Below are 14283 nucleotides of genomic sequence, written 5' to 3' on the forward strand. Positions count from 1 at the left end.
TCACTAAGAAGAAATGAAGCCTAAAGTTAAAAAATTAAATTAATAAAATAAAGAACATAGAATTTACCAATGCTCTGTAAGTCTGTTGCCAAGTTTCCTTTAGAACCAGCTTCGTGGTTTCTTACAAAACACAGTTAGTGGAACATTGTAAGTTGTGTAGGCTCCTTCATGTCCTATTTTCTTGCCCTTAAAAAAACAAAAATAGGTCCGGGTGTGGTGGCTCACGCCTGTTGCACTTTGGGAGGCCAAGGAGGGAGGATCACTTGAGGTCAGGAGTTTGATACCAGCCTGGCCAACATGGTAAAACCCCATCTCTACTAAAAATACAAAAATTAGCTGGGCATGGTGTTGGGTGCCTGTAATCCCAGGTACTCGGGAGGCTGAGGCAACAGAATAGCTTGAACTCGGGAGGCGGAGGTTGCAGTGAGCCTAGATCACACCACTGCACTCCAGCCTGGGCAACAGAGGTAGACTCTGTCTCAAAAAAAAAAAAAAAAAAGAAGAAAGAAAATGAAAAAGTAAGAGACGCAGCAGTCACTCTGCTTGGCCACCTAAGTCCCCAGGACATCTCCTGCAAGGATGTCTGCATGTATGTTGGAACTTGGATGTATATTTGTAATTCTTTAACTAGAATTTCACTGACAGCTCATAATCGAGCATCTTTAATTATTGGTCACTAATGTTGCTGAGTGTCACTTAGTGCTTCTGTGCAGTCATCCACACGTCCCATCTCTGTGACTGGTAGGCGCATCATTACTTTGCACATGCCAGTTACTTCTCTTCATAGCCCCTTGGCAAGGCTAATTAAATGCAGAGTGGGGTCCAGTATTTTTAAAATCTTGGTATCTGTTTTAGTCCAAAATGGAAATATAATGCAGATGTCTGCGTTCTAAAAGATCAATGCCTAGCGGTGGATTGGAGTTGGGGGGCCGGTCCCAATGGGGTTCCTCTGGGAGCTGAGCTGCAAGCTTGGCACAGATGTCAGTCAGCGCTGGTGTGGGGGGACTTGAGAGACAAGGCTGCCCGCGGAGCCCAGGAGGAGTGGGAGCACCGCGTGAACCTTTACGTAAGAAACACAAAGGTTTTATATAGAAATTGGGATTGGAGATGAGTGTACTTCGGTTGTGGAGAGGTTTTGAAGTCCTAGGAAGGGAACAGGACTCAGCACAGGCAGAAAATAGAAGACATTTCGTATCTCCGAGAGAGGAATGAAGGTCGCATGATATTCCCGTTGTGAAATTGTAAAGAAAAATGATCAAAACCTTAGAAAGGATTAAAAATATGAGTACAAAAGGGGATGGTGTGAAACCGTAGCTTGTAAATACTGGCAACTTTGAGTTGGAAATGAAGGGCTTATCCTCTGCCTTTGATGCAGATTCTCTTTGTTGCGACAGTGAGTTGTCAGCTGAAAATATCCTCATTACTGAGCCGTGTCATATGAACTGGAGGACAGTAAAGTGTCAGAGGCAACAGAACTTGAAAATCTTGGTGCATTTTTCTAAATGTGCCCCCGCTTATTTTCTAGACTTAGTTATCATTTCTTTTCAGAGACATCAATTGTAGAAGCAATGCTGGGTTTTGCTCATGAAATTAAAGAGCCTATGCCATTTCTTGGATAATTGTATGTCTCTGTAATGGTGATATTCACTAGTTACTTCAGGCTCCGATTCTAGAGGGCTAACATCATTTTTAGGTGCTAAATTTCACATTGAAAGTGACTCTGATGTTTCCTTACCTTAGGCCTTGTGAGGTGACTTCTGTGCCTCTCTGGTGGCTCCTGTGTGAAAAAGATTTTAAAGTGTTTATGGAGATGTTCACCTTAAGAAATATAATTTTGATAGAAATGTTATTGCTCAACCAGACGATATTTTCCAGTAAATATGTAGAAATAATCCATTGGTTTTAATCTACTAATTAAGCTTTCTCCATCAGTGTTTATACACAGGGGGCTTTTTCAGAGGCAGCCCTCTTTTTTTAACTGTGGTTTGGAAGGTTTGCCTGTCTGGAACAGTGCTATCTACCAGAAAGTTCTGGGATAATGGAAATGTCTTGTGTAGACTGTTTGATACAGTAGACTAGCCGCATGTGGCTGTTAAGCGCTCCAAGTGTGGCAAGTGCAGCTGGGGAAGTGAATTATTTATTCAATGTTAGTTAAATTTACTTTACCTTTTAATATATGTGGCTACTGGCTAGTGTATTGCATAACTCAGGTCTGTATTATCATATTGTCTTTGTAGCTCTTGCTGAGGCTGGGCCCAGAAAGCTTTAAATCATGTTGATGATGCTTATTTGCTTATTCCCAAATTTGGGATATTTATTTATGTATTCATTTATTCTGATGAGATTACTATGGCTAAGATATCATGTCTTCATGTCTTTTTGGGCAATACCTTGTTTTAATTGAAGACAAGTGACTTTCAAGTGACAGAAGTTGATTTTAGTCATCACAGTGTTCAGTGTAGAAATGTAATTGTGTTTGACTAGCAAAAAAAAAAGTGAAGAACTGTGTAAGATGGTTTTGCAATTTATGTGAATTTATGGTTCTGATCCAAAGAGCTGGGTCCATTTGGCTGTGTTTGACACAAGATGAAGTATCTTGAATTTTTATTGTGCATGTGATACCTTTTGTGGAACAGATTTCTTAAAACAGTATTATGGTTTAACTTTTCAGAATTTCTACAAAGAAATTGAAAGAGAAGAAATGTATATAAGGTATGTATGCATCACGCTTGTCTGCATGTTAATTATAAATAATAATATATGTTGTATGTTTACGTATGCTAAGAAATGTGTTATAGCCGCAAAGGTTTATTTTGTAGAAAATTGTGAAACGTATAAGGTAGAGTTTGGTGGAGCTCCCAGATACATTCTCAGCTCTTGCATAGCTTGTCCACACCAGTGCAGAGTTCTTGGTGGTCACCATTAGCCAACTCAAAAGCAAAACTACAAATAATTGTTTCACAGCGTTTTGTACCTGTTGACCAACTCATGTGGCCCTTTTGCAAAAAGATAAGCACATAAATTTTAATGTTTCACAGTAAGTTATATGATCCAGTGAGAAATCCAGTTATAACTTTACCAGACATAGGGGAGTTATAATTTTTCAGTCTGCTCTTAGTTAACTGACGCCATAGTCCCGTGTTTTTTATGTCTTTCTTCCATGAAGAAGAGAAACATTTTGCATTGCCTGCTGGATTTTGCTTCCCTACTCGCCTTGCTCCCTGGAGTGAGGGACTGTGATTGAGCCCTTCTCTCTTGGTTACTTCTAAAGTCTCGTGTCAAATAATTAGCAAGATTACCACTCTGGAGACTAGGAGAAGGATGTAACCTACACAGCATGAGTTTTTAGTGATGTGTTTATTACACTGAGGGTGATTGTCTAATTTTCTATTTCTAAGATTGTTTTTACTTCTCCTTTTTAAGAACATACTATGTGAATTTAATAACTCAGTTACCTTTATTTCTTTATGGCAAAGAAATTCTTTCGATCACATTGACTGTAATCATTGGAGCTCTTTATTCTGATGGATTTGTATTTTTACGGATTTTTTTGTGCATTTGGACTCAGTAGAAATGCAGAAAATCACAATCAAGTATTGTGTGTCTCATTAAAAATGTTTAAGGGAAAATGAAAAGGAATGAAAAATTTGAAGGAAAATTCTACCTTTGTGTATCATCTTTATTTTTTTCCTGAGTTTTTCTTAGTGCTTTCTGTACCAAAAGTTTTTAAGGCATTTTGAATTATGAACATTGTAAAAAGGAAGTGTAGCCATGATTTACTGTTGAACATAGAATTTAGCTCTTGCAATCCTCAACACAAATTATTTAGTGACATTTTAAGAACATACCTCTGTTTTATTGTCTCAGGTATTTGTACAAGCTCTGTGACCTGCACAAGGAGTGTGATAACTACACCGAAGCGGCTTACACCTTGCTTCTCCATGCAAAGCTTCTTAAGGTAATGTCAATTACCAGTCACCTTGATGATTCTATTGTTATAAATTCTAACAATATTCAGAATTGTATTTTTCCATGGCAAATTTTAGTAGGCCTATAACTTAAGGTTTTATGAAATTGACTAAATAAATGCAAGGATATGAACAAAAATATTTAGGAAGTACTTTGATTAGAGATTTGTCCCTGCTGAATGCAGATTTAATTAGATGTCATAGCAGGTGATCACTGAGCATTATAAACTCCCATCACTTGGCTGTGAGCTGACAGCAAGTTAGAGATTCTACAATTCCTTGTTCAGGACTACAGGACTCCAGGATGGTGGAGAACAATATCAAGAAGGAATTTTCCTGGTAGAACAGCTAAGAGATAGGATGAGACATACCCCTAATTGTCTTAGTAAAGAGTTAGGGACCAGATCATGACTTTTCACTCTATCAGTTCACGTTGAGACCTCCTGCTAGTGCTCTCTGCCTGATTCTTCTAAGGAGTGTTGCTCCTAGCACAAGTCTGGCATGACAACTGTCTACTCTTAGTGGTTCTTTTATTACTCAGATAGCTTCAGACATTGACTTTCTTTGTTTACAGTGACGTATGGATGGATGGATGGATGGATGGATGGATGGATGGATGGACAAATTGCTATACAGCCTCTAGTTTTATATTTCACAACCTCAGTAAGTTATTAGATGATCTTGCTCATGACATCCTTATAAAAATTTGAAAAATTATGAACTGGATAAATAAGAACAGTTACAAGAATTAGAATTTAGTTTGGTGGCATTCCACAAAGACTGCTCATTCAAGGAGTCATGTTTCCAAATCCAAGCCAGCCTCCCAAAAACCAAAAATGTAATGAAAGAAAACCAGAGAAAATTACATTAAATGGGCATTCAGTAGTGTCAATTAGGTAATAGGAGTTAAGGAAGACATTGTGTTATGGAGTAAAACTCTGGTAAGACTCTTTCCATCTTTGGCCCGATCCTGAAATTTCTGATAGTTTCTGTGACACAAATATACACAGGCTGCCCTAGAGACCTGCGAGTATGGAAATTTGCCTCTGCCTGGAAACAGCAGTGTCTGTTACAAATAAAACACACAAAGCTCAGCTCAGTCTGGAGGGACCTCATCAGTTGTCCTCCTGAGGCTGGCTGTCTGAGGACCCATTTTGCCCCGTGCCACGTGGGCTCTCCCAAGGAGCATAATTTATAAGGATGGAAATTTCAGTTGGTACATCTGATACCAGCTATCCCACTATGAATTCTGATGGCCTTCATTTATTCAAAACTCAAATTTCAGTAGCAAGGTGTTTTTTGCAAATGTGAAGCTATTTCTTTTACCCCAGGGAAATTAAAATGGGGTTGACAAACTGCTCACTCAACCCTTACTCCGTCCCTCATAGAACGTAAACTTTTATATGCATGTGTGAATGTAAAACATATATATGTGCATAAAGGCATCATTTGTTTAATCATTGGATTTATTGAGTACAGATGGGTTTGTCACAAACTGCATGATGGTTTGTTTCACAACTCAAATCGATAGGCCCAATTGCATTGCTGTTTCCCCTGGGCTTCTGAATTTTCCAGTTTAATGGGGAATGCTACATAATCTCTCTCCATATCTTTTGCCCCGTTACATTTTGCAATTTTTTCTAAATATGTTTTGATATTACTGTAAATGTGAATTCATGCTAATCACCTCACTAAAGAACATGATTTATGTTGTTGCGAAAATTCTTCAGTATGACAGATATATTATTGTTTATTAACTGAAAATCCTCAAATAGAATCTTCTTTTTTGGTTAGGCATATCTTTCGTCAAAACCAAGAGCAATAAAAACTTTAGTTTTTCGCCTAGCAATCAAATTATTACATCTCCATGTGGAAGTGGAAGGTAGAGAGGATTTTTGCTTCCCTAGTCCATGTTTTCATTTGCAAAAGTGATTTAAAAATGCAAGGAAGTCATTTGGATTCTGAACTTGCTTGTTCTTAATTTATTTTATTGTGGTTACATTTCAGAATCTAGTTTTGCTTTTATTCTCCATCCTCCAATAAAAGTAGACCAATTATGTTGTACAAACTTCAAAGTTAAAGAGTTTGTCCAATTGTGATGGAGATATGCAAGTTCAATTTTAAGGTGAAAAATCTTGCAGACCGCTTAAAGGCTTCTCACTCTTGCCTGACCTTTCTGGAAAGGCAGAGCCATACAGGGCCCGTGCCCTGTGCCTGGGAGCCCTGATGTCCAGCGGGAGGTGCTCCCCAGCCCGTGGTTTCAGGAAAGTGGGGCGGGACCTTTGCTAAGACAGTAAGCAGCTGACGGAGCCTTGCCCCGTTGCCCGGACCCCAGCTTCCCACTTAGTGCCTTTGCAGCACCCTCCCTGGCCTGGCTGAAAACAGGGTCAAGCTCCCTCTCCTAGGGCCAGCAATAAGCAAGCCCATGCTCACCGTGTCCTCCCGTGAGCCTCCAGGCTGCCCAGTGGGAGCACATGCCTCCTGCCCGTAGGTGCCCATGGAGTCTTTTTCACAGTGTTCTTTTTCTTGTTCTGTTTTTTTTTCTTCTTCTTCCTGTAGAAGGGTCTTGCTCTGTTGTCCAGGCTAGAGTGCAGTAGCCTGGTCCTAGCTCACGCAGTGTTGTTCTGTGTCATTATTCTCTAATGTAGAATCGCACCATCCTGGGAGTCAGGCATCTTCCGCCTCCTCTTTGACCTGGTTTGTGGCACACAGCAGGTCCTCATCAAATAGCTGCTGAATTTTATTGAACCTTATACTTAATGCCACTGATGTGTTGAGCCCAAGTTCAGGAGCTGACACGTTGTATCTGTTAAGTGGCCTTGCCTTCCCTCTGGCATGTCTCCTCGTGCATCTTCAGCTCACACGCCGACTGCACCAATGCTTCCAGGAATACTGGCCAAACCCTGACTCTGTGCCCAGCACCTTGCCTATGGCTGATGGTGCAAAGACACCTCCCCATCTTTAAGGAGCTTGACAGCCTTTCTAGTCCCTTTCTGGGTGACTTGTGTGTTCCATGTACCATCTTTGCTGTTGATTAAAATGCCAACCCACGCAGCACTGAGACCAGAGCCCTGGGGTGCCGCTCTTGGGATGGCCCTGGATCACCTGGCTCCTGATTTGTCCCGGAATGTTAGGAGGTGTCATTTGCAAGCTGCCAGTTCCGTGCTTTGCAGAACCTGCTGGGTTTTTCTTTTGTCTGAACCCCACTGCAGCTATGCCTCCCCTGTGTCTTTTATGCCTGTCGGTATGTCCGGACAGAGGCTCTGCCCTGGCAGTCCCCAGCCTGTTGACAGCAGCCACACATGTCTCCAGAACCGCGGCCCACACGCGTGTCCGATGCGAAGCTCACACCATTCTGACGTCCCTGGGTGTTTCCGCCTCGGGTCCGCTCATGCTATGCTTCTCCCTTAGTGGTCGGAGGATGTGTGTGTGGCCCACCTCACCCAGCGGGACGGGTACCAGGCCACCACGCAGGGACAGCTGAAGGAGCAGCTCTACCAGGAAATCATCCACTACTTCGACAAAGGCAAGGTAAAACACAAAAAGCAATTGTCCTTGTTTTCCTCTTTCCATGCACCTACCTGCAGTGTTGTAAACACGTTTTTTAGCGTGTGATTTTTGCAGAACCAGAAATTTGTTACAAGTTGTATATTGAAATGTTTTATGCATGTTCCTTCAGCTTGCACTTAAAAGTAGAAATCTTCTTTTAAAAAAAATCAATAGCCCTTTTATAGATGCTCTAAAAAAGCACCAAGTATTTTTATAACCCTTACCAGAGGGAACTAAGTCTGGAACACTGATTCGGAGGTGTTTCCGTGCCCACAGAGCTAATGTATTCCTTTGACATCCTGCATTTTTCTGTTGGCACGGAAGAATTAATCCCATGGTAGGATGGATATTGCTCCATCCTGGTGGCTTCTAGTTTAATTGGCTTAAACAAAATTATAGATTCCACTTGACTTCCACTAAAAGGAAACCTGCTGTCATTTTAATCAGCCAGTATTATATCTGATCACTGTAGTTCTTCTGATTAAGGTATGCAGTAACTATTTAAAAAAAAAAGCTGTTTCAGTTTCAGAAGTTTTTAAAACCTGCCACCGAAGTGACATTGGAACTCCTTCTTTGGTTTCATCAAGATTCCTAACTCATTTCAGAACCTGTTTTATTTTTCTTTTTTTCCTTTGAGAAAACTGACTAGCACACTTTATGAAGGTACCGACGTTCACATCCTAGGGCTGCTGTAGCACAAACTGGGTGGCTTTCAACAACGGGAATGTATTCTCATAGCTTAGTGCTGGGAGCTGCAAGCCTGATGTCACAGTGTTGGCGTGGCCGCCCCCTCTGAAGGCTGCAGGGGAAAATCTGCCCCGTGCCTTTTCCTTTGGGTGTGTTGCTGGCGGTCTCTGGCACTGGTCATCTGTAACCACATCGCTCCAAGCCCTTCCTCCGTCATCACAGGCCTTCTCCTCATGCGAGTTTCTGTCTCAGTCTCCTTCTCCTTAGGAGGTACCAGCGGTTAGACGAGGGCCCACTCTCCTCCATCAGGTCCTCATCTTCCCTTGATTACATCCAAATACCCTGTTTCCAAATAAGGTCAGATTCAGAAATATCAGGGGTTAGGACTTTAAATATTTCTGGGGACACAGTCCTACCCACAATTGTACTGATGCCCGGGAGTGATGATGGCTGCCCCTTTTTGTGGCTGTTGACGTAAACCAAACCCCATTGAAAACAATGACTCGACAGAGTCCCCGTGGTCACGAGCTTGGGATTCTGCTCACATTTGGAGTAAGCGATGCGGCATCCTTTATTTGTCCCTGCCATTCTTGACACAGGGAGAAAGTCTGACGTTTTCAGAATGGCATGTGGGCTCCCAAAGGCTGGTTGGAAATAAGGATTGGAAATGTTCTGTGAATTACACCCAGTCCTGTAGTTTAGGGGTCCCCAAACCCCAGGTCCTCAGCCTCTGGTACAGGTCGTGGCCTGTTAGGAACCAGGCTGCACAGCAGCAGGTGAGCAACGGGTGAGCAAGCAAAGCTTCATCTGTGTTTACAGCCGTTCCCCATCGCCCGCATTACCACCTGAGCTCCACCTCCTGCCAGATCAGCAGCACCATTAGATTCTCACAGGAGAATGATACCTATTGTGAACTGTGCGTGTGAGGGATCTAGGTGCCATACTCCTCATGAGAATCTAATGCCTGATGATCTGTCACTGTCTCCCATCTTCCCCTGATGGGATCATCTAGTTGCAAGAAAACAAGTTCAGGCTCCCACTGATTCTACATGATGGTGAGTTGTATAATTATTTCGTTATGTATTACAATGTAATAATAATAGAAATAAAGTACACGATCAATGTAATGCCCGTGAATCATCCTGAAACCATCCCCCACCCCGGTCCATGGAAAAATTTTCCTCCCTGAAACCAGTCCCTGGTGCCAAAAAGGTTGGGGACCGCTGCTGTAGTGGAACAGGATATATTTTTGTTCTCTGGAATGAGAAGCTTTGAGGATTAGGGCCAATTACTATAACTGTACTAGGTTAGCCAGGAGAATCCTGTTTCTCAGCAAACTGGTAAAGAAATGGAGCAAATGCAGCCATCCCTTCCCGGCAGTGGCTTCTTGGCTCCAGGGTGAGCAGTGCTACAGAATGGGCAGGGCAGGGCAGGGCAGGAGGCAGGGACCCTGGGGTGGCCGGGAGGCCCGAGGGCCAGAGGTCACGGGACTGAAGGAATGTGCGCATTTGTTGATGGCTGTTGCCGGGCTCTCTTTGTGGCAGCACATCCTCTGACCAGCGTTGGCTCCCGCGACCTCTCCACCCTCATTCCCTCCCTTGCCCTCTGCATTCCAGCCACACTGGCCCTTCTGCGTCCTGAAATGCACCAGCCCTCTCTGCCACTGCCCAGCGGGTTTCTGCTGCACTGCCTTGAGGACGTTGCTTGAGTCAGTTTTCCTTTTGCTGCCTGTACCATTTTGTCACTTGAATTAGCTTTTTCTAAGCCAGGCTTTCTCAATCTGGGCATGATTGGCATTCTGGGCTACCTGTTACTTTGTGGTAGAGGACCACGCGTGCATGGTGGACTCAAGGAATGTCTCCCTGCAGTGCCCTGGGCATACTCCTTCCTGTCTCAGCTTAAATGTCACCTGTTCTCCAGCCACGGAAACATCCTCTTTTCTCCTTTATGGCACCCACTATCATTTGCAATGATAGATTTGCTTGTGTGTTTCTTTAATGAGTTCCCCAGTAGGCTCTGAGCTCTGTGAAGATAGAACCTCACGCGTCAATTCCCCACCATGCATCTAATGCTCGGAACAGTGCCTGGCACACAGCACATGCTCATTACATTATGGACGTGTGTGGAAAGAATGAACAAATGAATGAAAAGTCAGCATTTAACAGTGCTTCCTGACAGATGAGAAATGCTCATGTATGGCAGGACAGGTGGCCTTCAATAAATGATAAATCAAAAAACAGAGTCTTTTTTTTTTTTTAGCAAAGGTAGCCAAATATCTTTTCCTACATTGTGATAGTTCATCAAAAAAATCATATGGAGGGGCAAAACGAATGTGTTCGGTTCAGTACAGTGGTTCTCAACTGAGATCTGCAGGAGGCATTGTGGGTTCTCCTGACTGGGGGAAGAGAAGGTGCTGTTAACCCTCCAGCAGTGCACACATGGCCCCCACACCACAAAGAAATAGCCCAGAATCCCTGTCGTGTCCAGGTTGAGAAAGCCCTCCTTAGAAAAAATGAATTCAAGTGATGAAATGGAATGGGCAGCTAAAGCAAAACAGACTCAAGGAATGTCCTCAGATGTCCCTGTGTTTTGGTGGAGACAGAACAAAGGCTATGGCAAAGTGATCATTGGCTGGCCTTGAATCAGAATGAGTTTTAGGAGGATTTTCTTCGTAGTAGCTGCATTGATAAAACCGATGGAAAAGCCACTTCTGAATATCCATAATATTTCCACGAGAATGTTAAAAAGGAACAAAGCCTCCTTATCCCTCTAAAACTAAAGTAAGATGAAGAACAGGTGCTGGAAAGAATTTGATAAAATGAAATTTGAAGTATCTGAGTGATCAGCTGCAAGGCAAAAAATTCATTTTAACATCAACAAGCATTACATTTTCTGGGAGAAAGAGCAGTAGGAAATAATTCATCTTCCGTAACAATCTGGATGGCCTGCACTAGAGTTTGAACCTCTCCGAATCTCCATGGCTCCAAACAGCACAGGTGTGTTTCTCACACATGCTCCGAATCCTCCTTTTGGCTCGGAACCCAGATGAACAGAGGTTCCGCCACAGAGGAACACAGCCGGAGAGGACAGCAAAGAGTCCCCCGCCCTGGGGCTTCTGCCCCAAAATGACAGTGTTCATGTCATTGGCTGAAGGAGATCACATGATCACCCCAGACTTCAAGGGGTGGAGAAGTGCACTTAGGGGCAGGTGAGTGTGAGCGGCACCCACGTGCACCACACAGCTTGTTAGACAGGTGAGTCTAACAATCAAGGGCACCATCCAATCTAGATTAACAAAAGTTCATCTAGAAATCCCCTAAGTATGCATGTATTCTGAGAAAGACGACGTCCACACTAGTCTCCCAAATAACTCGGCTTCCCCACAACTAGAGATGTGAGAATAACATCTCATAAAACTTGTTGGGCCTCAATCCTCGTTTCTCTGTCGTGGAGTTTCCTTCTTCCGTTAAAGAGGGGGCTTAGGTAGGCAGAACCCTGCAGGAGAAGCAGCCTGAGAGAATGGGCTCCTGACCCCCGTGACTGCGATGTGGGGAATCCCACCAGGTGGCCAGTGCAGGAGGAAGGGGGCACACAGTAGAAGCTCGAAGTGTGATGTTTTGTGCCGGACTTAGAATCACTTTTGTTTAAGAAACAAGGCTGAGGCCTGAGTATCCCCGGCTGCTTTGGGGATGTGCCATCATTTGAGAAATAACGTCCTCCTGCCTTTCCTAAATGCAGTGGAATGACAAAGGCCACGGCTGAAGGTTGAGAAGCTTGAAGTTGGGAGGGCCCAGGGCACACCTTTCCACACTCCATTCCCAGACTGTAATTATCTTGGGGGAAAAATACTTTTTAAATGGTCCACAGGTCATCACAGGCCTTAGTGGGCAGGTGACACAGCCCAAGGAAACTTGAAGGAGGGCCTTGATTGGTGTGGAGCCCTGATATGGTTTCGATCTGGGTCCCTGCCCAAATCTGAAGTCGTTGTAATCTCCAATGTTGGAGGTGGGGCCTGGTGGGAGGTGATTGGGTCATAAGGGTGGATTTCCTCCTTGGTGCTGTGTCGTGAGAGTGAGTGAGTTCTTGTGAGATCTGGGTTGTTCAAAAGTGTGTGGGACCGGCCGGGCGTGGTGGCTCATGCCTGTAATCCCAGCACTTCGGGCTGAGGCGGGGCAGATCACCTGAGGTCAGGAGTTTGAGACCAGCCTGGCCAATATGACAAAACCCCGTTTCTACTGAAAATACAAAAATTAGCCCATCGTGGTGGCAGGCACCTGTAATCCCAGCTACTTGGGAGGCTGAGGCATGAGAATCGCTTGAACCTGGGAGGCGGAGATTGCAGTGAGCCGAGATTGAGCCACTGCACTCCAGCCTGGGCGACAGGAACTCTGTCTCAAACAAAAAAAAAAAAGAGGGGCTGTGAGACCTCCCTGCCTTCTGCTCTCGGTCCTGTGCCTGCTTTGCCTTCCGCCGTGAGTATAAGCTCCCTGACGCCTCCCCAGAAGTGGCTGCTGCCATGCTTCCTGTACAGCCTATGGAACTGTGAGCTGATTAAACCTCTTTTCTTTATACATTACTCAGTCTCAGATATTTCTTTAAGCCCTCTGAGCAGCTGAGCACCAGAGAAACCAACTCTCAATTAATTGGTAGGACTCTAACCCTCACTGTTGTCCAGTACTGAGTCCTGAGCCACATGCGGCCATTGGGCCCACGTGAACCATCTTTCTAAGACCAAGTACAAAAAAACAAATGTTCTTATGGGCTGAGTTGCATCCCCCCAAAATTCCTATGTTGAAATCCTAACCTTCAGTATTTCAAAATATGGCTATATTTGGAGATAGGGTCTTTAAAGAGGTAATTAAGGTAAAATGAGGTCATTAGGGTGGGCCCTAATCGAATCTGACTGGTGTCCTTATAAGAAGGGGGATTAGGATACAGACACACACAGGGAAGACCATATTGAGGATACAGCAAGAAGGCAGCCATCTACAAGCCAACGAGAGAGGACTCAGAGGAAACCAGCCCTGCAGACACTTTGATCGCAGAATCCTGGCCTCCAGAACAGTGAGGAAGTGAATGAATGTGACTTGACGCCCCCAGCACCTACTCAGTGCTTCATTATGGCAGCCCTGGCAAACTAATACCAATACCAGGTGTCTCATTCATTTGTTTGTATAGATTTCATGTTGAAATAGTAATATTTTAGATAGAGTCAATATTACTACAATTAATTTTACTCTTTAAAAGGTAGCAGCTAGGAAATGCAACATTCACGGATGTGGCTCCTATTGGACGGTGGTTCCTGTTGGACGGTGCTGCTCTGAGTCAAAGACTTTGCTCTTGTTGAGCGCCAAGAACATCGTCAGACCAGCACTGCCGCCCACATGCGGCTGGGAAGCGGAAGCTGCCCACTGTCCTGTGGGGCCTCACAGGCAGTAGAATTGCCTGCCTGCCTGTTGGTATCTACTCCTTAGACTACAGGAATATTTAAACAGCGAAAATATTTCTGAAAGAGTTACAAAATGGGGACTCAAGTCTGGAAAGAATAAAATGTATGTCGAAATGGCAAGGAAAAAAGCATGATCACAAGCACCAAGATATGATGTTTTTTTCCTGTGACTCAATTTCATTTCTGTAGTGGTGAAACAGCTGTCAAGACTACGGCAGTTACCAGCGGGAACCTGGAGGGAAGGGTGACTTGGGAGTTCTCACATGGCCCTTAAGGAAATACAGATGAGGCAAATAGGAGAGAGGTAGAAACAGGCAGCTGCCAAGATAAGGTGTAAGAAATCAAGAAAAAGCAGCATCTTCTTGTTGGAGCAAGACAGAGTTTTCCGATACCTATTTTATTATTAAAATTTAGAATTATGCGCCTCGGTGATGTTGTTTTCATTTGTGCTTTGGATAAATCCCATTATAATCTCATTTTTCATTTCCCGGGCTTAGCAAGGATAAGTCACGTTTGCTCCTCAGGATCTGTCTATGCACGTGCCTTAGGGAATAGCGAGCCTTCCCCGCTGACAGACTGGCTCTAAGATCTGCACCATCTTGACCCACTTCTACCTGGGCCACTTCTGAA

The 14283-nt window shown here is 43.9% G+C and overlaps 1 protein-coding gene and 1 long non-coding RNA gene across 17 annotated transcripts in view; one reads left to right on the forward strand and one right to left on the reverse strand.

Annotated features, from left to right (window-relative positions):
• Nucleotides 1–14283, forward strand: part of DOCK1 (dedicator of cytokinesis 1) — a 547089-nt gene that overhangs the window by 471983 nt on the left and 60823 nt on the right. For 14 of the 16 annotated variants that reach the window (NM_001377544.1, NM_001290223.2, NM_001377547.1 and 11 more), the window contains 3 exons: nt 2672–2712; nt 3868–3958; nt 7380–7499. In NM_001377544.1, coding sequence (NP_001364473.1) covers nt 2672–2712; nt 3868–3958; nt 7380–7499 — 252 coding nt within the window. The remainder of the gene's footprint in view (nt 1–2671; nt 2713–3867; nt 3959–7379; nt 7500–14283) is intronic. The other 2 variants (NM_001377546.1, NM_001377553.1) reach the window with 1 other exon arrangement.
• LOC105378551 (uncharacterized) overlaps nt 1–14283 on the reverse strand; it is a 36497-nt gene that overhangs the window by 13716 nt on the left and 8498 nt on the right. Inside the window, exon 2 of the long non-coding RNA XR_001747642.3 lies at nt 1736–1777. This is a non-coding gene — a long non-coding RNA (uncharacterized LOC105378551). The remainder of the gene's footprint in view (nt 1–1735; nt 1778–14283) is intronic.

Source organism: Homo sapiens, chromosome 10 (assembly GCF_000001405.40).
Source record: "Homo sapiens chromosome 10, GRCh38.p14 Primary Assembly".
Taxonomy (NCBI): domain Eukaryota; kingdom Metazoa; phylum Chordata; class Mammalia; order Primates; family Hominidae; genus Homo; species Homo sapiens.